The sequence below is a fragment of the Homo sapiens genome, chromosome 10, assembly GCF_000001405.40.
Source record: "Homo sapiens chromosome 10, GRCh38.p14 Primary Assembly".
NCBI classification, from domain to species: Eukaryota; Metazoa; Chordata; class Mammalia; order Primates; family Hominidae; genus Homo; species Homo sapiens.
In genome coordinates this window covers 79,852,480-79,876,527 of record NC_000010.11, presented here as the reverse complement: position 1 = coordinate 79,876,527, position 24,048 = coordinate 79,852,480, and the positions used below count along the sequence as shown (strand labels likewise).

Sequence of the window (24,048 nt, the reverse complement as noted above, 5' to 3'; positions counted from 1 at the left end):
AAAACATTATATTAGAGACGGGGTTTCGCCATGTTGGCCAGGCTGGTCTCAAACTCCTGACCTCAGGTCATCCACCCGCCTTGGCCTCCCAAAGTGCTGGGATTACAGGTGTGAGCCACCACGCCCGGCCTATATTCATATTTCTATTCACAATATCTCCTACACAGTGTTTTCCTGTTCTGTGGCGAGAAATCAGGCAGATAGCAGAAGACACAGGTCAGATCTCAGGAAGAGTTTCTATGGCCTCCAAACAAGCATTTATTGATTACAGATGTACGGGTGAATATTACGAATATGGGGAGATGTCCCACAAGGTTAGCTCCTATGCTACCTAATGCACCAGGCAGCTTGTCCATAACTTAGTTTAAATATATCTGTCAGGCTCCATGCCCATTTGCTGTAAAAGCAAGATTACTGAGGTAATCTTAGATTTTAAAATGGAAAACTGGGCCTCACAAAAGCAGTTGGGAAAATTACCTGGAGATTGTTTCTAAGGCAGTGCCCAACTGTACCAAGCAAAGGACAACAAGTACAAAGTCAGAGCTTCATTAACTTGATGATTGATTCATTCACTTACTTAATGCAAGACTTCAGGGGAAGAAGAGTCGCTGAGTGGAGGAGACTGGAAACAATGCATTATGAAACGCCCATGGTCTCTGGATACCCATCCAGCCAGTCCCCACCCTCCTAGGGTCTGGTCTCGACCATCTCATCATGTGTTTTGAGGGTGCGTTTTCCTACCAGTTGTTTTTTTGTCTGCTGTTTTTTTGTATTTGAGACAGGTTCTCCTCTCGCCCAGGCTGGAGTGCAGTGGTGCGATCTCGGCTCACTATAGCCTCAACCTTCCGGGCTGGGCGATGCTGGTGCCTCAGCCTCCCGACTAGCTGGGACCACAGGCGCGGGCCACCACACTCGGCTAATTTTTGTATTTTTAGTAGAGAAGGGGTTTCGCCAGGGTGCCCACGCTGTTCTCGAATTACTGGGCTCAAGTGATCTGCCTGCCTCAGCCTCCCAAAGTGCCGGGATTACAGGCATGAGCCACCAGCAACACGCCCAGATTCTTCTACACCCTTAATTGGGAGATAAGGCTTCTGCTTGCAGGCTGTGCGTTCTTCCAACCGGCCGCACCTTTGCTGTGGACTAAACAGGAACCACTGGATTAGAGTCCTCTGGCTCTCTGCCCTGCAGGAGATTTTAATCAAAAATTCTAGGCCTAAGGGAAAAGCAGGGTTAGGCTGAAAATGCACACAGGGCTCCCGTAAATTTCTTTTCATAAACCACCCGCCCAGGGCATTAAATAGGGTACTTAGTTGATCCGAACCCTCCAGGGAGACCTCCGACCCTTCTCTTCGTAGCCCCCAGCTCCCCTCCCCCGGTTCCACTGAGGCAAGGGGACTGAGCTGCTCCACATGCCAGGAGTCAGCAAGCCGGAAGGCCCCGCCCAGCGGCTGGCGCAGCCAATCGCAGAGCGGGCAAGCGGTGGGGGCGGGCCTGCCTGGGCGGCAAGGGGGCAGGGGGGTCTAGGGGCTTTAGAGGTCAGTTAGCTGCTTTCGGGCGGCCTTAGGCGACAGGAGACTCCTGGACCCAGCACCTGCCCACTGTGCCTGTCCACCTGTGGCTACAGCAGCTGAGACCCCAGTGGGCTAAGATTGGACAGGGGCCACCAGGGACCCAGCAAGTCCTTCAGCTCTGTGAGTGAGGGATTTTCGGGAGTGCCAGGCCGCAGTATTCCCAGGGCTGGTGGGGTGGGACAGGGAGGCTCGACCCCGGCAAGTCAGGCAGAGGCGCCCCTTGCTCCCTGCAACATCGCCCACGTCCTGGGGCCACAGTGAGCATGAGCGGAGGGCGGGAGCAAGAGCCAGGGGACCTGGCCTGGGTCCCCAGCCCAAAGCCTGGGAAGCTGCCTACCCCTGTGTGGGCGCGGACACTGGGGACTCTGGCGTCCGGTGGTTCGGCCACCTGATTCAGTTTATGCTCTGCGAGGGGAGTTGGAGAGTTGGCAGGACTGGCCCACCTGCAGGACTGCAGGACCGCGGGAACGGCGGTAGATAGGTGCTCTCCTTCCCAGTTTGTCCTGGGAAGACATTCAAGAACTGTTTCATTACAAGGGGCATTTGGAAAACATACTTCACCTTCTGCTGTGTATTAGCCAAGAACAAGGTGTGACGTGACTTCCCAATTATTGGGGATCCCTTTGTCCCTTCTTGAAATTAGATGTCTTCATTCTTGAGGTTTTGCCTGGATGACCTCAGCACAATTGGTACAAAACCTGGGCCAACGGTTTCCTAGTTTCCTGGTTGTTGCCTTAAGCTTCTCGCCCATCAGGTACCTTCCTGCCCTTTTCATAGCCTGTCATCATCATCCCAGAAAACTGTTTCAACTCCTACAGCTCTGGACAGGCTGCTTTTCATTTTGGTGGGTCCCTCCAATACCTCCACTTGCCCTGTTTTTCTCCAGCCACATCCTTGGCCTCTTCCACAGTCCTTAGGTAAATGCTTGGAAGAATAATTTAAATATTTTTATTCTACCATGGTGGCTCTAGTTTCTCAGGGCATAGTAAAATGGCTTTTTAGGATCGGTCTAATCAGATCCTCATTTCTTTTCCCTTCCTAGATTTTTGAAACATGAATCCTTCACTCCTCCTGGCTGCCTTTTGCCTGGGAATTGCCTCAGCTGCTCTAACACGTGACCACAGTTTAGACGCACAATGGACCAAGTGGAAGGCAAAGCACAAGAGATTATATGGCATGGTTGGTGGCATCTGAAACTGTCCAGGGGAACCCCAGAGAGATGGGCATTGCTATTGGGATCGTATGGCCAGAAAGTGGCTTCTAGAGGCTGGCTCCTACCAATAACCTAACGCAATAACTTAATAGCACTGATTATGAGCACGATATGGGCATACACCCTTGTTGTGTCTCAGCTTGGAGAACATCTCCTAGAAGTGTCAAGCCTTCCCTGGCCATGGTTACTCTTACATCCCTGTCTGAAGATTCACTTGGTTAGCATATGTTGGGTTTTAATTAGAAATAAATAGCATCGGCGGGGCACGGTGGCTCACGCCTGTAATACCAGCACTTCGGGAGGCCAAGGCAGGTGGATCACAAAGTCAGGAGATTGAGACCATCCTGGCTAACATGGTGAAACCCCGTCTCTACTAAAAAAAAAATACAAAAAGTTAGCATGGTGGCAGGCGCCTGTAGTTCCAGCTACTCGGGAGACTGAGGCAAGAGAATGGCATGAACCCGGGAGGCAGAGCTTGCAGTGAGCTGAGATCGTGCCACTGCACTCCAGCCTGGGAGACAGAGCAAGACTCCGTCTCAAAAAAAAAAAAAAGAAATGAAGAGCATCAGTTACATGTTTGCCTTTAGAATGGAGAAGGATGGAGGAGAGCAGTGTGAGAGAAGGACGTGAAGATGATTGAGCAGCACAATCAGGAATACAGCCAAGGGAAACACAGCTTCACAATGGCCATGAACGCCTTTGGAGACATGGTAAGTATGCTGTGGGCTGCCCAGCTCTGTGCTTCCCCTCCTCAGTTCTTTACCAAATTAATCTCTTGCTTCTTAACATTTTATTTACTTTTCTTTGAAGACCAATGAAGAATTCAGGCAGGTGATGAATGGTTTTCAATACCAGAAGCACAGGAAGGGGAAACAGTTCCAGGAACGCCTGCTTCCTGAGATCCCCACATCTGTGGACTGGAGAGAGAAAGGCTACATGACTCCTGTGAAGGATCAGGTGAGACTGTGTTAGGTTCAGACCTCCCATCACCCCAGGAAAGCCAAGAAGCAATTGACATTTGTGCTATGGTAGACTGTGCAGCAACATGCAGTTCACTTTTTAAAGGAGTATTTAGCTACATGAGCTAAATACTCATGTTGTTAAAAGTCTTGCTCTGTGTGTGTGTGTGTGTGTGTGTGTGTGTGTGTGGATATCAGCTTTTTTATTCTCTTTTCAGGGTCAGTGTGGCTCTTGTTGGGCTTTTAGTGCAACTGGTGCTCTGGAAGGGCAGATGTTCTGGAAAACAGGCAAACTTATCTCACTGAATGAGCAGAATCTGGTAGACTGCTCTGGGCCTCAAGGCAATGAGGGCTGCAATGGTGGCTTCATGGATAATCCCTTCCGGTATGTTCAGGAGAACGGAGGCCTGGACTCTGAGGCATCCTATCCATATGAAGGAAAGGTAAATGGAGCTCCTTTTCTTGCTGCCATTCCTGCTTGGTTTTACTGGGACACTTTCAGAGATAACAGACACTTTTCAGAATTCACGTTTTAGATGGTGGAATCTCTATCTGCAAAGTGACAGTGTTGTCATTATAAATTATAGCCTTTGCACAGTTCTGTGATTACATGGTTAGCATGCAGCTGTTCTTGCTTCTATGTGACATGGAGAATATACAAACCATTCTACATATAATACAGATGTCTCCATTGTGAAAAATGTCTTACGGAAAGTAAACCTAGGGGTCTCGCTGAAGAGAACTGAGCTAATTTTCAGTTTCAAATTAACTATTAATAATAACATTTCACTTCCTTGGGTGATGTGTAACAGTGTTGACTTGGAAATTCTATGCTGCAAACTGCTGAGTGTTGTGGTTCTGACTCACATTCCCCAGGAGAAGGATGGTAGTAATCAAGTCGCCTCCCTCTTCACCTTTAAAAGGTTAAAACCTGTAGGTACAATCCCAAGTATTCTGCTGCTAATGACACTGGCTTTGTGGACATCCCTTCACAGGAGAAGGACCTGGCGAAGGCAGTGGCAACTGTGGGGCCCATCTCTGTTGCTGCTGGTGCAAGCCATGTCTCCTTCCAGTTCTATAAAAAAGGTAAGCATCTTTCTTCATAGAAATTATTGCAGAAAAAAAGTAAACCACCATGACACACCAGCATGATGGACTCTATACACGCAATAATCATACCCAATGCTTCTATTTGATATTACATTGAGCGTATCTCCATGAATACCTGTACTTCATAACTTTTTATAAATAGCTATGTTATTTATAGTATAGTTTAATTTACTTAAATATTGTCTAATTGTTGTATTCTTATAATTTTTCCAAAGATTTTTACTTCTGTGATTAAATCTGAAAAGAGCCTTTTGAGTCAAGGATTTTGGTGTTCTGTGCTATTTTTAAGATTGATATTCTAGAGTAGAATTACAAGCTTAAAATGAGCGGTCTTTTATGCCTGTAGGAAAGTTTTTTTATGAGGGACTTATGCTAATTTCTATTTCTGCTAGTTGTGGATGAGAGCCTAATTCCCTAGCCTTGATAACAATAGATCTTGTTAAGCCCAATCTGGACTGTGTGTCATTTCACTGATTTTAGAGATGCCTCCCTCCCTGTGGGTGACAGGGTGGGTTACCGTCAGGTGTCCTTGGGAACTTCTCACCCAGCCTTCATTTTATTCTCTCAGGAATTTATTTTGAGCCACGCTGTGACCCCGAAGGTCTGGATCATGCTATGCTGCTGGTTGGCTACAGCTATGAAGGAGCAGACTCAGATAACAATAAATATTGGCTGGTGAAGAACAGGTATAAATTGCCAGAAAGACTTATAGTTGAAACTCAAAAGGGAATCCTTTTTTGCAATCAGTATTTACATACCACAAGCCCTTAATCACATTTCTGAAATCCCAGAAGTCTTTTTCCCCCTTAGGCAGAACACAGAATATTAATGATTGATTGTAACGTCAAGATACTGTCACAAGCATGCTGGGGATATTAATATGGTATTTGTCCCATTGCATGTCTAAATTCTGAACATTTTCTTAATTCTGAAGTATATCGGCTGGAAAGACATCCTATCCTTTTTCTGTTTCTGATTTTGCAGTTCTGTGAAAGGTCACAGTTTTGGGTCTGGGATTGAAGGGATATGCAGGTTTTGACTCAAGAATTTACAAGGGATGAACAGGAACATCAGCATCTCCTGATTCTTTATGTTAAGCCTGTGGCTTCTGGCACACTGTGGCTTCTGGCACACTGTTTAAGTTAATAACCCAATGTGCTTTATCCTTCCTCTGAAATGGAAAACCTGCTCTCCTTTCAGCTAGGGTAAAAACTGGGGCATGGATGGCTACATAAAGATGGCCAAAGACCGGAGGAACAACTGTGGAATTGCCACAGCAGCCAGCTACCCCACTGTGTGAGCTGATGGATGGTGATGAGGAAGAACTTGACTGAGGATGGCACATCCAAAGGAGGAATTTATCTTCAATCTACCAGCCCCTGCTGTGTGGAATGCGCACTTCAATCATTGAAGATCCAAGTGTGATTGGAATTCTGATATTTTCACACTGGTAAATGTTACCTGTATTTTAATTACTGCTATAAACATGTTTGTATTATTGATTCACTTACTTTGTATTTTCATTTTAAAAGGATATATACAATTTTACCTGTTTAAATAAACTGTAATTTCAAATATACTGGTGGGGCTTCTTTCTGTTTTGATGCACTGACTTTTTTGTGTAGTTGTATTAGTCTGTTTTCACACTGCTGATAAAGACATACCCAAGACTGGGCAATTTATAAAAGAGATTTAATCGACTCACAGTTCCACGTGGTTGGGGAGGCCTCACAATCATGACAGAAGGTGAAAGGCATGTCTCACATGGCAGCAGAAAAGAGAAGAAAATGAGAGTCAAGCGAAAGGGGTTTCCCCTTATAAAACCATCAGATCTCGTGAGACTTATTCACTATTATGAGAACAGCATGGGAAAGACCTGCCCCCATGATTCAATTACCTCCCATCAGGTTCCTCCCACAACATGTGGGAATTGTGGGAGTTAAAATTCAAGATGAGATTTGGGTGGAACACAGCCAAACCATATCAGTAGTCAAGCATGAAACTGGGCTCTAAGCCATACCTGCTCTACCAGTGGTTCACTAGGAGGAACAGTGGGTGGCCTTCTGGCTCTTCTAGTAACAAATGTGCAGATCTCATGTCAGCTGCCCAGTGGTTGTGTCTGACCCAACTCTTGATTGAAGCAAAATATGACAAACGATCTATAAGGACAAAGGAAAATTGTTTTAATAAAGAAAAAATTCACATTTTTCTTTAAAGTGATCAGACATACATGTAATTTCAATACTGAAAAAGAGCCTTAGAGATCATGTTTATCTCACCCACAATGTTTGCAACCCAGCCAAGTTACAGGGCAAAGCTATCAGGGCCAGTTTCTGGAGCATCTTCCCCAGCTGCTGGTGAAGACCCCATGGCCACTTTGCAGTTGAGGTGAGACAAGGCACTAGTGCGTTGGCAAGGCTGTTTGTCTTTGGGTCCTCAAGGGATGAGGGATAAACTCCAGGGTGTGAGGCTGGGCTTCAGGAATGGTATGCTGGCCTTGGAAGGTGGAAGACAGATAAAAGGACCCAAACTTTGAGTCTGTGGCCACATTCACACCAAGCTACCTGTAAGCACCTGAATTATTTTAACCAACAGAAAAACTTCCCACATTGTATTGGCTAAAAGAGCACATAGTTTAATCACCTGTGTTTTTTCAAAAGTCTCATGTTCCCACTGAAAAAAAATATAAAAGATAGTTAGAAGTGTTTAGTGAATAGACTCCATAATCTTTCAGGAAGAAAACTAGGAGGACAATGGGGTCTCATCCCACAAAGCCTCCAGCAGGCTCCATTTAAGTTCATCTGAACTGGATCATGTGCCATGCTGGACTCTTACGTGCCCTTCCCTAGTCGTTGCTAAAACCATCTTTTCGACATAAAATGACAAAAATGGCAACTGTGAAATTTTATAATAAAAGTAGCCCATGTTAGCAAGAAGATTGGGAAGATTCCCAAGGTAAATCCCTTAACTGTGCAGGTTGGGTCCTAGATTTGATACAGTTAGAATTTATGCAGCACCCAACATATGCAGGTTATCACCATGGTGGAAGAGACAGGCCCTGACCTCAAGGAGCTGGAACTGTTAGGGAAAGGGAGGTAATGAGGGAGGGTTTCCGGGGGGAAGGGAAAGACAATATCAACCAGAGCAGCCAGTCACTAAGGGAAGGTGAAGAGGTGAGCATCTTAGCAGAGACTAGCATGTCAGTAACCCTGAGAAATGACTGCAGTGAGAGACCCTGCAGAGTGATTAGGTCCAGGTGTTGGGTGATGAAGCTTGCTAAGCGGAGTGTTTGAACATAGGGGACCACTGGAGAGTGCAGGAACAGACCGTTCTGGTTCTCCTCTATTACTGTAAAACAAACCACCCAGAAACTCAGTGGCTTTGTAGAAACATCTTTCACTTTTTTCGCCTGGACTTGGCTGTGTGGTTTCACGGGGAGACAGCTGTAGGCTCTATCTGTGCTGGAGACATCTGTAGGGCTTGATGGGACTAGACATCTGCAGGGCTTGACGAGACTAGACATCTGCAAAGCCTCACGCACAGGGCTGGTTGCAGATGCTGGTGTTGGCTGGGCATTTAGCTTGGGCTGTTGACCAGAGCACCTGCCTGGGGCCTCTCCATGGCTTGGGCTTCTCACAGCATCAACGTTGGGAAAAATATATACATATACCTTGGCAAACTTTAAACACTGAATTGCACAGGTGTTTATGTTCATCTTTATTATTAAATAAATTAACAAAAAAAGTATTATGAGGAGATTTGGTCTCTTTTCTCCAGTAATACAGTTTTAAAATCTCATAATTAACATAATTAAAGCTTTTTATACTTATACTTTCAGTAAGTATTTATTAGTCATTTTTATTTATTTATTTACTTTTTTTGAGATGAGGTTTGGCTCTTGTTGCCCAGGCTGGTGTGCAATGGCACGATCTCAGCTCACTGCAACCTCTGCCTTCCGGGTTCAAATGATTCTCCTGCCTCAGCCTCCCGAGTAACTGGAATTACAGGCATGTGCCACCATGCCCAGCTAATTTTGTATTTTTAGTAGAGATGGGGTTTCTCCATGTTGGTCAGGCTGGTCTTGAACTCCCAACCTCAGGTGATCCACCCGCCTTGGTTATAATCTAACCTAATTAAAATCTTTTTAAAAGCAGGACAAAAAATTCAACATTTTGTAAGATTATAGCTACGTTAAAATATGTCTAGAAAATACAGCCAGAGGAAATAAAAACTTTCATTGCCTCAAATTTCCGCAAAGCCAAGGGGCACCGCCCATTGCCAGGGAGGGTGAGCCCTGGAAGCACAGAGGTTGCTGACTCCCAGCCCAGCAGCAGCTGGACGCTCAGCCCCCAGTGCCTGGTTTCTCCTTGCACGTGAATCCAGGTCCCAGCATCTTGTCATTGACAGGAGCAGCCCTGGCTCACCCTCTTGGAAAACAGAAAGATGCTCATGGAGGCTGGCTGTGAGGCAACCTGAGGGCTCTGAAGACCTCCTGTGGGGCTCACACTGGGGCCAGAGCCTCAGCCTCTGACACCCGAGAATGGAGTAGGCAGGATGGGTGGGGCAGAGAAGAAGAAAGTTCTCTGGATGTCCTGGTTAGTCACCCTGACCCTGGGAAATGCACACTCACGGCTGAATCAGGGAGAATCAAGTCTCTTGGCCAGAAAAACAAGCCATTATGGCCAGCGAAGCGCTCACTAAGCACACACAAATACACATATATGTGCACCCACAAACACATAGAATTACACACATGCTCAATACACACATAGGTACATGCACACTAACTCATTACACATATGAGCATGTATGCACACAACACACCTATACACATACACTTATGTACAGATGCCCAAATACACACATACTCACACCCTTACACAATACGCATGTATATACATGTAGTCCTGACACACATTCACACACATGTGCACACACACCTACATACACACCACAGTATAATACACTTAGTAGAGTAGTATCGGGGGGCCTCAGTTGTGGTCAGATGGCCTGACACTTAGTCTGAATTGTTAATCATTGAACTGTGTAATTTTGTCTAAATCTTTTCATCTCTGCTTCCAGCCCCCAAAAGAGTGCAGTTGACTCAAATCATCTGGAAGTTCTCTTTAGTTGTAAAATTCTGTTATTTCAATGGAAAAAGACGGTATCATCCACCCAGAGCTCACCTGAGCTCCTTCTCTGTACCCTGAGGAGGATCCTGGGGGCTGGAGTCACAGCATAGGGTGCTTTGGAGGCCATCCTCACCCAGCGCCAGCCCCAAGAGTGTTGCCACCAGGGATAGCCCAGCATCTCCACAGACCTCTGCTGTGGGCATTCCTGTGACTTCTTCCCTGCCCCTCCTCCCCATGCCTACGCACTTCTTCCCTCCTTTCTGATCAAGAATATGCCTTGGGAGCAAGTAGGCAGGAACCAGCAATCTTCTGAGGCCCAGCGCTTCCAGAAAGAGGTCGGCAGCTGTCTGTCCTGGGGACATTTCCTGGTGGAGGTGGAAGGGGGCTCACTGCTCCTTAACATGCTCTTTCAAGAGTGCCTCCCTGGTTTACTCTTTCTGGCCAGGGTATTCATTTGGAGCAGACAAGCCTGTTCCCTGTCCCAACTCAACATCTGGAAGTTGCTGGGGCATGGGCTCCAGGTGTTGTTTGGAGCCTCTCATCAGCATGTGACTTTTGGTTGTGATGATAAAGTCTGACCGCACCTCAGGTTGTCACCCAAAGCTCAGCTACAATCTCTACAAATTACCCCTGAAAGCAAATTTCTCAGGCAACTGTGGAGCTCAGCCCGTGGCCTGGTAGGTGAGCCAGGATGTGGCCCTCACTGGGCATTTCATACCTGTGGCCAGCACAGGGCTGGCACCATAGTGGTACCCAACAGCCCCTTGTTGGAAGAATGAATTTGAGCACCCCACTCCTCATGAACAGCTTGGCCTGATTAAGTTCTCAAGAATCCAAAGGCCTGCAAACACTATGACATCCTCCCACATATGAATTCAAACTGAACAAAAACACTGAAAACTTAAAAAAAAAAAAAAAAAAAAAGGAAAAAAAAGAAAATGAGCCAAGGAACAATCACTTCTTCCCATTAGGAAGACCACTTTGTACTTTGTAGGTGGTTATTTTGGAAATAACAATCTTTCACTTTTCTTATCCCCCATTTCTCTAGGGGCCTCTGCTTTGCTGGGCTGCTCTAAATACAATGGGTAGTCCTGTACTTCACTCTGCCAGATTTATTGTTACCTGGACATTTTTAGGTGCCAGCTTTATCTCTTTATTTTTATTTTCAAAGTGTGGTAAAACATAAATAACATAAAATTGATCATTTTAACCATCTTGAACTGCACAGATTGGCGGCATTAAATACATTCACATTTTTATGGAACCAACACCACCATCCATCCATGAATACTTTCATCCTGCAAAACAGAAACCATCTTTTTACTCCCCTAGCAACCATGCCCTCCTCTCTAGCTTATATTTATTTTATGCTACATAGAATATCCTAGAAGCAGAGAATCTGAGCAGTGGAGAGCACCTGGTAAGGTTATCTCTTCCAAACACCTGCCCTTCAGCAAAACCACACGTGGGGTAGACTGAGCCAGGCAGAATCAACCTTGTTTTTAAATGTACAAAGCTAGGCCTTCTTTGGAAGTCACGTATTTGAAATATCAAGTTGGAAAATTCTTTTTCTAAAGTAAAAATTTTCTTTGTCATTTCCTCAGTTACTCTTTTTCTTTTTCAGATTGAAAATAACCAGTTACTGTCCTCAGGGAATCAACAATTTCATGAGCAGTGACTTCCTGGGAGGCCGTGGTTCTCAAACGTTAGCCGGCCTCAGTGTCAGCTGGAGGGGTTATGAAAGCACAGATCGCTGCACCTAACCCCAGAGTTTTAGATCCCAGGGGTCCAAGGAGGACTCCAGAAGTTGCATTTCCAGCAAATTCCCATGTGATGCTGATGCTGTTGGACTGGGGACCCCATTTTAAGAAATGCTGCTATAAGGCCCAGTGCTAGGAAATCTGAAGGATAGAAATATGCAGGTACCTAAGAGGTGGGAACAAATGGAATTAACAAGGTAAATGGGTTAAACTTCATGTGGAAAGTGCCAAACGCCCTTCACATAAGCCCTTTGCTGTCATAGAGCTCACAAGCTCAGGGTGCGGTGCAGGAGGCTGACGTGAACAGTAGTTTGGGATGTCAGTCTTTCATACCGGGAACTGTGTGGACACTGCAGGGGAGCACAGCGCTCAGGCTGGATGAGGAAGGGGCCGGGGATGGCTTCCTGCAGACCTGGAAGCATCAGGAGCCATTCCTGGGTGGATTCTTAAAGAAAAGAAGGTGTCCAGACAAAGGGGCCGGGCGAGGCACATGCTCTTCCAGCAGAGGAACAACCTGGAACTGAAAAGGGGACATGGAGCATTCACGGGGCAGCAAGCTGTGCAAGTGTCCCCAAGGGGAGCGTGGAAGTGAGGCAGTGAGGACAGAGTGCGGAGGCGGGCAGGGCGAGACCCAGAAGGCATGGTAACACAGGAGGAGGAGCCCAGGTGATATTCTGAAGGCTCCTTTGACATCGAGGACAGAGAAAGCTTTGCTAAGACTCCATATAAGGGGGCATCAGAGAGGAAAGGAGAAGCAGGAACACAGCTCTCTCCAGTCCTCTAGGTCCTCCACTATAGGATAGCCTAGGTGCAGACAAAATTTCCTTTCCTTTTTGTTTTGTTGGAAGATTTTGGAATTGCATGGAGGAAAACTTGTAAAGACACTGGGCAAGCCTAGAACCAAAATGAACACAAACAGGATACAGAAGGTGGGTCTGGAGGTGAACAGAGGAGGCTTCCAACTCCATCTTGTCTTGTGCCGCAGTCTCTGTATTTAAATAGAGACCTAATTCCCTCACAAGACCCACAGGACCTCACAGGGGCTGGCCTCCCTGCTGTTTTCAGCCTGAGCTCACAGGCCCTGGCCCTCACTCTTCCTGCTCCCGCTCCATAAGCCTCTTTCAAACTGGGTTTGCCAGGCTGTCTTCTGCCCCAACCCTTTCCCCAGGTTGTTTCCTCCATCTGGAGTAGTCTTGCCCTCACCTGACTAATTAACTACGTTTAATCTAAGACCCACTCCCTCAGGGCAATCTGATCTACCTGCATAGGTTCAATCTCTACTCTTAGAGGGTTTTAAGCATTGGGTACTTTTACTTGATAGCACTTAGTGGTTGTTATTTGTGTAATTAGTTGTTGAATGTCTCTTCTACTAGAACAGGGGTCAGCAAACCATAGCCAGCTTTGGCCTGAAGCCTGATTTTGTAAATAAAATGTTAATGGAGGAGATCAGGTGCCTACAGGGTCATATTGCTGGAGATGTGGAGTGACCGATCAAGATCAACATATTTTGGTTCATTTGGATGATCGACTTAACAGAGAGCTTCCATATTTTTATCTATTTAACATTTCTTTGGTGCCAGGGCATGACATTTTCTTTGTTATAGAGAAATAATAAAGAAAAAAAAGAATGCACAGGGAGTTAATATGAAATATTGTGTTCTCACCAAGTGAAGGCCAAAAGGCTTCATTACAGGATGTGCAAAGGAAGCCTCTGTGTAACTTACATAGGGACAAGTGGTGGAAGCAGCCAGTTACTGCAAAGCACACTGCCAACAGGCGGGTCTCAGGAGAGTCTGCATGTGGACAGGGGGCGCCACTTCCTCACAGCGGAGGGGAGTGACTGTTCTGCCTTTGTTCCATTATATTAATATTGTCATTTGAATTTTATGAGGTCTCTGCATTTGTTGATCTGCAAGTTTCTTTAGGTTTTATGGTTGCAAGGTATCTACATGCCTACATTCTTTATATCTAGTTTTAAGGTTACATATAATTAATATATATAATACTTAATTAAAAATTAAAATATGTAAGATATATATTATAAAATATATAGACACATGAACAGAGGCAGAGCAACAAGAATAAGGTTTTAATTTACAATCAGGACAGAGAAGAGCCCATCAAAGTAAACAGGCAAGGGGAAGAGGGGCACCTGGAAATAGCAGCGGGCATCCTGCCAGTTCAAAGAATAGAGACCTGGCTGGGGGCTTTGGTCAGCCAGATGAACAGTCAAGCCAGGGAGGGCACAGCTGATGATGACACATGCTGGCTTCTTCTGTCCACAGGGGAGTGCCTCAAATACACTATGGTTCTGACTGGGCTCATCAGCCCCACATCCTCCTCCAACACACACACACACACACATACATACACACACACACACACACACACACACATTGAGGTTTGGGGCCTCTGGCTTTTATAAGGAGAGAGCAGCTTAAATTTAACTTCAATGGACTGAGCCCCTTCCTCCAGGAGCAATGTCCATTCATGGGGACCATATGTGGAGGGAGACTTGCTTCTTATTTGTTCCCCATCATACCACCTGTGTGTACCAGGTGGGCCTTGGGCGCTCTTTCTGAATGGGGACCCTAATTGTGTTCAGTTGCAGCAGTTGTGGTGCCATCCCCCATCGCACAATCTGTTCTGGAGGAGGATGTTGCAGAGGCGCTGCTCCATAAACTGGAGGTGCCTGGAGGAGCCCCGATGGGAAGGCTTGGAAAAACAGGGGCACTGGGGACAGAGGCTTTTCATTGCTGCCCATCAGGGGGCCCCAAGTGTGGGCTGAGGGGTGGGCCTGGAGAATATGAATGTAGCCAGGCAGACGTAAGCCGATGTCTTTCCAGGGTGCCTCTACTGTGCACTGAATTTGGGAAATTAAGAGGGTGCTCACTCTGGAGCTTGGTGAAGATTTGAAAACCACAGCGTTAGTAGTGGAAGTCATGTCCATAGCAAAGAGCTGAGGGCTCAAGGAGGCTGCAAGGTCAGGTGGGCAGATGCCCTTGCTGTGATGGTGGAAATGGCTGCTGTGGAATTCAACTGCTGATGAGTGATAGCAGCGATCCCGGTGGAAGGTGCTGGAAGAGGAGTTGGGGAGGAAAGAGGAGGAGAGGAAAACACATATGGGTGTAGGAGGCTCCCTTCTGAAGGGAAGCTGGAAGGAGAAAGATGTGGGGCTAGGAGGTATGGGGCAGGGCTGAGAGGTCAGAGGTGCTGAAGCTGCAGCTGAATGAGGGCAGCCTCCTTTCTCATTAGGTGGAACCCCCAAAATGGGGGCAAGGTCAGCAGGAAGACCCAGGGGAGAGTTAGGAATTATGGATATCAATTTTTACTCAATTCTTGGTGTGGGCGAAGGTGGAGGGACAGGCAGGGTGAGGGGCCCAGCAGCCATGTGGGCCAAGTCAGAGGTAGGAGGAGGAGCTGGGATCTGTGAAGTGTAGGTGGCCCGGGCAGGGAGTCTCAGCAGGTGTGGAGACAGCAGGGGCAGGCTGGGTGGCACTGCAGTTTGCCATGTCTTCTTTTTTGAGGCGGAATCTCGTTCTGTCGCCAGGCTGGAGTGCAGTGGTGCAATCTCCACTCACTGCAACCTCCACCTCCCGAGTTCAAGTCATTGTCCTGCCTCAGCCTCCTGAGTAGCTGGGACTACAGGCACCAGCCACCATGCCCGGCTAATTTTTGTATTTTCAGTAAAGACGGGGTTTCACCGTGTTGGCCAGGATGGTCTCGATCTCTCGACCTCGTGATCTGCCCGCCTCAGCTTCCCAAAGTGCTCGGATTACGGGTGTGAGCCACCATGCCTGCCCTGCCATGTCTTCTTTATCTTCCCAAGCAGCTGTTTTAGTCTCCTGGATTCTGATGTTCTACTGGTGTTGTTCTTATCCATGTTGCCCAGGAATCCCTCAGGAGATAGGCAGGGAAGCTTAGCAGGTGGGGGCAGGTCATCTCTATTCCACCTCTATTGCCGGGGAGGGGTTGGTGGCAGCAGCAGTGGTGGTCCTGACAGTTTTCTTTCACTGGACCCGTGGCCGGCAGCTCTGGGTGGAGTATAGCTACTTGATGCAAGAGCTTCAGGATCCTTGGGCTGCATCTCCTTCCCCCACATTAGCAAGCCTGGAGAGCTGGGCAGGTGGTCTTTACCCAACACCTTCAAGGCTGCCTTCTCTGGCCACAGGGAGCAGCCTGGAACTGGGAAAGGGATTATTATCCTTAATATTATCCATAATATTCCAAAAGTTCTCAAAAATTGGTAAGAAAAGGCACAACATCCCAATGGGAAAGTGGCACCACACACTCTGGACTGTTTCCGCTGCTCAGTGGCCTGAGTATAAGTGCAGCCAGTGCTTGTCTGCCTCTCCTCTCCCCTGCCTGTGATGCCCCCTCAGAAGGTGTCTCCCCATTTTTTCTATCAGTGCTTCACTGATAGAAAAATGCCGCACTTCCCATGCAAGGCTCTAGTTCCAGACATGCTTCCAGAATTCTCGGGAAACCCCCTCCTCTCCCCTGAAAACCCCGCCCTTGCACATTAGATATCCTGGTTTTCCTGTTGGGGTCCCATTATGGCATCATCAGCAGATGGGGCACAGTCTCCTGAGGCCTGGGGGGAATCTGTCCCAGAAACCAGGGTGTGGGGACTTCTGACTAAATCAAGGGAAGGTTTTCATGGAGAAAGTCAACAAAAAGTGAACATTCTAATTTCAAAAATAGTCTCCTCATTGCACTTCAAATTAAGGGACTTGGAAAAAGGGGAGCAGGGAGCTGGGTGTTTAATGGGTTCAGAGTCTGATACTGGGATGATGAGAAAGTTCTTGAGATGAATTGGCGGTGATGGTGAGAAAACAATGTGAATAAACTTAACGCCAATAAACCCTGCACTCAAAAATGATGAAAATGGTAGTTTCTGTTAAATCTGTTTTACCTCAATAAAAAGTAAATAAAGTTTTGTTCCCAGTGGGCAGGTAAGTAGGGGAAACTCTCTTGCCACCTCTTGGCAAGAACCTGAGAAACAGTTGGGCTCCCCAGCAGTGTGAGCTCTTCTGAGGGCAGTGGTGACAGCCTGAGAGACAGTTGAGTGTAGCAAGGGCAGGTGCAGGTCCCTGGTCCCAGAATGTGAGTGTGGCAAGCCAGCCTCGACTTCTGCCTGCCTAGGAGTCATCCTAGGAGGTAAGCCTGAGTGAGCAGGGGTGAGCTCTGCGTGTCCTGTGTGCAGCAGCAGATTATCTGTCCGCCCGTGCAGAGAGGGGAGAAAGCCATGATGATGGGACCTGGTTTGGCTGAGAATCCCCAAAGGCCCAGGAGCTCCTTAACCTTACATTAAAACACAAAAGAGAGCTCAGCAGAGGCCACCACACCCAGCTAATTTTTGTATGTTTAGTAAAGACAGGGTTTCACCATGTTGGCCAGACTGGTCCCGAACTCCTGACCTCAGGTGATCCACCTGCCTCCGCCTCCCAAAGTGCCGGGATTACAAGCATGAGCCACCATGCCCAGCCTTCATTACCCTTTATTACTCATTTTTTTATTATTGTTTGTCTCTGCCTGTCAACCATTGTGCTCATCACTCACCTGACAAATATCACATCTTGAGTAGATACTTGTAGAATGAATGAATATGATTTTGCTTCAAGACCTAAGGAGTGGAGGCAATGGTGGACTACTAGAACAGGTGTCTCTAAGTGTGTTTGTATAAGACATTCTAGACCTCTAGAATATCTCTTCTACTAGAACTCAGCCTTGATGACCTTATGCCCAGCGATGGAGAGCATTCATGAAGCATTTAAGGAGGCTGGCCTGCAGGGAAGCAGTCTTGGACAAGTTCAACCTGCCCCCATGCCACTTCAACAATCAAAATTTTTATCACTCCTCCTTGCTTCCTTTACTCCTTCAAAAAGCACAGAGTTTTTCATGGGGTTGCACATCGTTCATTTTACAAACACCATTAACATCATTGCATTAAAAATGACATCCTAACCCCAATTAACTAAGAAATACATAATGCAGAATAAGTAGCAGTTTGCCCTAAGACCATTAGCAACATTCAGGGACATATACATTTTCCTCAATTTCTTCATTGTGCTAATGGGCAGTGAAGAGTTGGTGTTTGAGAACTCCTCAGATATTTGGTGTGCTATCAGGGGCATTGCTGAAAGCAGGAATCTTAGCGGCTGGGAGTCACCGTGTGGGCAGAGGAGGAGAGGAGACAGAGACTGTGTGGAGAGGTGAGGCTCTGTGCTGTCAGTGAGGGCTGTTCTCTGCCCCCATCTCTTCCAGTCCCTTTTTATCTCTGCCATCCCAGGAATGATGGAAGTGCCTGAGGAAGACTACCTGGGCTTCCTGATGAGTTACTGGCAGACTGCCTCTGTGGGACAAGAGGGTCACCTGCAAGCCAGACAGTCCAAATCCTCCCTGAAACACATCACTCTCCACTCACTGCTTACCAATTCCCTTCAAGGCTGCTCCAGCTGCACATTTTTAAAAGTTGTTCTATTCAATGAGAAGACATAGACACAGGGAGGGGAACATCACACACCGGGGCCTGTCAGGGGGTCAGGGGGTCAGGGTCAAGGGGAGGGAGAGCATTAGGACAAATACCTAATGCAGGCAGGGCTTAAAACCTAGACGATGGGTTGATAGGTGCAACAAACCACCATGGCCCATGTATACCTATGTAATGAAACGGTACATTCTGCACATGTATCCTGGAACTTTAAAATAAAATAAAAACTTTTTAAAAAGTTGTTCTATTAAGATATGGTCTGTGGTTTGGGAAAACGGTGACTCCTTGTCCTGTTCTTAGAGAAATATTTCATTTTGTAGGGATGACTGGCCCGGGGGCCCAAAATCTCACTGTCAGTCTGCTCTGGTTCTTCAGCAAATGCTTTGAATCAGGGTTGATGGTGGCAAAAATTGGTAGTTAACACCTTCAGCATTGTGGTCCTTCCCTTGCATCACTGGCCAAGCTTCACTCTGGTGAATTCCACATATAAGGCTTGCCCAGCCCTGTCTCATTCTCTTGGATGAGCCACAGCCATGCTACCCACCAGGACCAGGCACTTCCTCTGCACACTCTGTGGATAGCAGTCATTTCCCTGAATCCATGAAAGCATCATCTGCTTAAACCACTATTTCTTAGTGTTGTTTTTTGCAACTTTGAATTCCACAATTTCTGTTTCATTCTCTGCATAAATTGGAGAATACTTGTGAAAATTCCTTATCTTACAGTCCATTTTCTGTAACATTAGTCTTAGCCCTTTTAAAATCCTGGGCCTTGCTCTCTTGAAGTTTTTCTGGGATTGAGGCCAGTGGGATGGCAAAGCTGCTGTCACTGAGGTATGGCCTGGAGAGTCCTTGGGTGTCTGGGGGAGAAGGCAGGGCCACCAGCATGGGAGCCAGGAATAGGGGATGACTCCAGGGGATGAAGCCCAAGGAAGACTCAGCATGTCAGGTGCAGATCAGCGCAGGATGAGGCCCTGAAGTGTGGGTGACCAGCCACTCATAGGGGGAATGAGGCTCTTTGGCCCTATTTCTCATGGGGCTGGTATGTGGGGCCCCAGGTGTCCCTGTGCTCAGAGCCTCAGCTTGCAGGGAGCCCCTGTCAGCCCCTCCATGGGAGTTGGGAGTTACAGGGTGCCATGAGCAGCTCTTCTGGGGGAAGTTCCTTGTCCTGGGATGGGGGCATCCGTCCCTCAGGCCCCACCTGTCCTTTTGGGCTCCAAGCGCAGAAAGTTGCAATCTCGGTCTTCACATGGAGACCAAATGTGTCCCAAGCCAGGCTGCAGCACACACATGAGGGCTTAGGTAAACAGGCCAAAGCCCACTGCTCCCCCTGACAAGGGCAAATGTAACAGAAAACGAAGTGGACAGACTTCAGAGAATGTCAGGGAGCTGCCCCAGAGGTGGAAGCCAGGAATGCGGGACAGCTGGTGCCTGACTGAGGGTGCCCATCACCACAGCCCACGTCCTCGTGCATTTCCACAGGGTAAGTCTGGCTCCAGCATTTGCTCTGGAATAATAGGGCCCCACAGCACTGACGATCATGACCACCTGTCTGCCAGAGAGATGCGAGAGAGACTGAGGAGAAGAGTGCCCTGTGTGATGCTCCCTGGGCCAACTGACAGGAAAGGGCCTCTCGGGCACGCAGGCCCCAGACTCAGCATTTGTATCTGGCTCATGAGCCTGATGACTCTGGGCAGCAGAGTAGCACACGGTGGACGCATGCTCTATATTGAGTTAGGCAGGCCAGGAGCTGACTGCTGACAATTGGCCTGGCCACATCCTTGCACTTCACTGTGCAAGAGTCTCAGGGTGGAGTGAAGTGAGCTCTGAGACCACACCACAGAAAATTCATTGCTGGGAAGACCAAGCATGCCCAGGACAGCTATATAGAATGTGGTTGTTGGGTCCCTCACACCATCTAAAGCAGAGGCTCTTAAATAGCTGGGGTTAGGACACTCCCAAATCTTCACTGAAATTTCCAAGCCCATCACAGACTCCAAATTTTGCTAGATTGCCTGAGGGTCCATGGACTCCTGGACAAGAACACCCTGTACTGGTCAGCAAAGTTGCCATGTGAGAGCCACGAGGTCAGGAATTCAAAACCAGCCTAGCCAAGATGGTGAAACCCCGTCTCTACTAAAAATACAAAAATTAGCCAGGCTTGGTGGCAGGTGCCTGTAATCCCAGTTACTCAGGAGGCTGAGGCAGGAGAATCACTTGAACCTGGGAGGCAGAGGTTGCAGTGAGCCGAGATTGCGCCACTGCACTGCAGCCTGGGTGACAGAGTGAGACTCCATCTCAAAGAAAAAAAAGATTATACATCATGACCAAGTTGGATTTATACTTGGAATGCAAGGATGAGTGAAGATACAAAAATCAATCAAGTCATACACCACATTAATATAATGAAAAACAGAAACCACATGATTCAGACAAAGCATTCAACAAAATTCAACACCATTTCATGATTAAAAACACTCAACAAACTAGGAATAAAAGGAAAATACTACCACATAATAAAGGCCTTACATGAAATGCCCACAACTAACATTATGTTTACTAGTGGAAGACAAAGCTATTCCTCAAAGTACAGGAGAAAGTCAAGGATGCCCACTCTTGCCACTTCTATTCAACATAGTACTGGGCCAGAGCAATTAGACAAGGAAAAGATATATAAAAGGCATTCCAGTTGGAAAGGAAGAAGTAAAATTATTTCTATTTACAGATTATATGGTTTTATATGTAGAAAACCCTAAAAATTCCACCAAAAACCTGTAAGAACTAATAAATGATTTCTGCAAAGTTACAAAATGCAAAATTAACACACAAAAATCCATTGCAGTTCCATACATTAGCAATGACCAATATGGAAAGGAAATTAAGAAGAAAATTTCAGACCAGGTGCGGCAACTTACACTTGTAATCCCAACATGTTGGGAGGCTGAGGCAGGCGGATCACTTGAGGCCAGGAGTTTGAGACCAGCCTGGCCAACATAGTGAAATCCTGTCTCTACTACAAAAACAAACAAATAAACAAACAAACAAACAAAAACAAAAAACCCACAATTTTATTTATAATAGCATGAAAAAGAACAAAATACTTAGAAATAAACTTAACCAAGGAGGCAAACAACTTGGACACTAAAAATTACAAAACAACAATGCTACAAGAAACCAAAGAGTATATAAATAAATGAAAAGACATCTCCATGCATGTGGATTTGAAGACTTAATATTGTTAAAATGTCCATATTACCTAAAACAATTTACAAATTCCATACAATCCCTATTACAGCATTATTCACAGTAGCCAAGAGATGCAATCCAAATATCCATTGGTGAATGAAAGGATAAAATATGGTATATACATACAATGGAAGACTAAGCAGCCTACGGAAAGAAGGAAATCATGTCACATGCTAGAACATGGATCAATCTCAAGAACATTATGCTAAGTGAAATAAGCCAATCACAAAAGGACAAATACTTTCCCTTCATATGAAGTATTTAAGGTAGTCGAAATCACAGAAACATAAAGTAGTGGTTGCCAAGGGCCGGGGGTGGGAGTAGGGGGGAAATTAGTATTTAATGTGTACAAAATTTCAGTTGTGAAAGATAAAAAATTTCTAAAGATCTAAATTTCACAATGATGTGAATATACATAACATTACTAAATTGTACAATTTAAAATGTTTAAGATGGTTTTTAAAAAAGGAAAAAGCATAGGAATAAATTTCATGACCTAAGACTAGCTAACGGTTTCTTAAACATGACATCAAAACCACAAGTAACAAAAGAAAAAATAGATAAATTGGACTTCATCCAAAGTAAAAACTTTTGTGCTTCAAAGAGTACCATCAAGAAAGTAAAGGACAACCCATAGAATGGGAGAATATTTCTGCAAATTATATCTTGTAAAGCATTTTTATCTGGAATATATAAAGAATTCTTATAACTCAATGACAAAACACAAACCAGTTAAAAATTACTAAATGTTGAGTACACATTGCTCCAAAGAAGATATACAAGTGGCGAATAGGTACGTGAAAGAGGTTCAACATCAGAGAAACACAAATGCAAACTACGATGAGATGCAACTTCAGAACCACTAGGATGACTTTATCAAAAAGAGAGTTGATAATAAATGTTGGCTCGAATATGGAGAGACACTGGGACCCTCACACAGCTAGTGGGTATATAAAATGGTTCATGTACACTGGAAACAGTCTGGCACCTTCTGAAATGGTTAAACATAGAGTTTCCATATGGCCCACCAATTTCACTCTTAGGTATGTAGCCATGAGAAATGGAAACATACATCCCCAGGAAACCTTGTACACAAATGTTCTTAGAAGTGTTATTCACAATACCCAAAAAGTGAAAAAAACCCAAACGTTCTTAACTGATAAATGGATAAATTTTAGTATATCCATTAATGGAATATTATTCAGCAACAAAAAGGTTTGATGTAATGATACATACTAAAAATGTAGATGACATTGGAAATATTATTCTAAGTGAAAGAAGACAGATGTGAAAGACACACATTGTATATTCCATTCATAGGGCATCATGCAACGCTGAAGTTAGAATCAAAGTGAGCTACAAAAGGGCAGCCACCTGGATCAAGTCCATCCTCATAGCTGTCAGAAAGCACAGCATGTTCACTAACGGGGGCAAGCCTTGCTCACGTTGTCAGATGGAGTTTCCCAGGAGGCTATGGCTTCTTCGGGGATCTGACATCCAATGGTGAAGGGAGGGGTCTCTGGAGGCAAACCTGCCAGGGGCCACCCCAGCCGCACTGGTTCCCAGAGAGTGACCTGGGTGTGTGAGCAGGGAGGCCAAGCTGACCAAGAGCCTCAGCACACCCCCAGCACCTGCTGTGAGCAAGCTGCATGGCTTCCCCAAGTGTGGATGCGATGACATCATGGGTATTTACAGATTCCTTTTCACTGTGTCCCAGGCTCTCCTGGTTCATGTGTGATACACTGCACTTGGGGTGGAGGTGTGCTGACAGTTGTAAAGGGCCGAGCCTTTCTTTCCCGTGGCTCTGATGCACAGTTTCCAGATACCAGTCATGAAGGAAGTTCTTGAGATTATGGACTTTGTCCTAGTCACATAGGGCTGCTAGGACAAAGTGCCATAGACTTGGGGGTGGTGGCACATATTAAAAAAAGAAGTGTATTTGTCACAGTCTGGAGGCTGGAAGTCCGAGGTTAGCATCCCAGTGGGCAAGGTTCTGGTGAGGGCTCTCTCTCTGGCTTGCAGATGGCCGCCTTCTCACTGTGTCCTCGTGTCAGGGAGAGAGAGAGCTCTGGGGTCTCTGCTTCTTACCAGGGCCCTAATCCCATCATTAGGGCCCCACCCTCATGGTCTCTTCTAACCCTGAATAACTCCCAAAGGCCCCATTTCCAAATACCATCACGTTGGGGGTTAGGGCTTCAGCACAGGAACTGGGCGGGGGACGTATGTTCAGTCTACCAGAGCCCCCCAGTCAGCCCCACTGTGCCCATTTAGGGGCAGATTGTAGGGCTCAGGTGGGACACAGAGGTGGAGGAAGCACAAGTTCTGCTTCCTAGGAATGGCTCAGCCAAGACAAGGACAGGGACAGTGGGATAGACAACAGCCAGTGGGGTAACCAGCAGGAGCCCCAAGGTGTCACTTTCACCCTTAGGTGAGGAAGTTGGCTGGGCACCCACACACGCCAGAGTATGGACCATGTTCCCTTCAAACACGGCTCACTTAACATTCCTAAACCCTGCAAAGGGGCAGTGCTACCTTATCTCTTGAGGATGGCCCTGAATGTAGAGG

At 46.4% G+C, this 24,048-nt stretch overlaps 3 pseudogenes, besides 1 other annotated feature; 1 reads left to right on the top strand and 2 right to left on the bottom strand.

Annotated features, from left to right (window-relative positions):
- Window positions 2,613-6,477, top strand: CTSLP6 (cathepsin L pseudogene 6; annotated as a pseudogene).
- Window positions 5,898-6,479: an enhancer, noted in NCBI's record as "OCT4-NANOG hESC enhancer chr10:81629805-81630386 (GRCh37/hg19 assembly coordinates)". NCBI's record gives its function as "activates a minimal SCP1, AML or CMV promoter by ChIP-STARR-seq in naive H9 embryonic stem cells {active_cell/tissue: H9 hESC(naive)}" and the evidence as "EXISTENCE:reporter gene assay evidence [ECO:0000049][PMID:30033119]".
- On the bottom strand, window positions 14,391-15,266 carry NPAP1P2 (nuclear pore associated protein 1 pseudogene 2; annotated as a pseudogene).
- Window positions 15,465-15,942, bottom strand: LOC100421010 (putative UPF0607 protein FLJ37424 pseudogene; annotated as a pseudogene).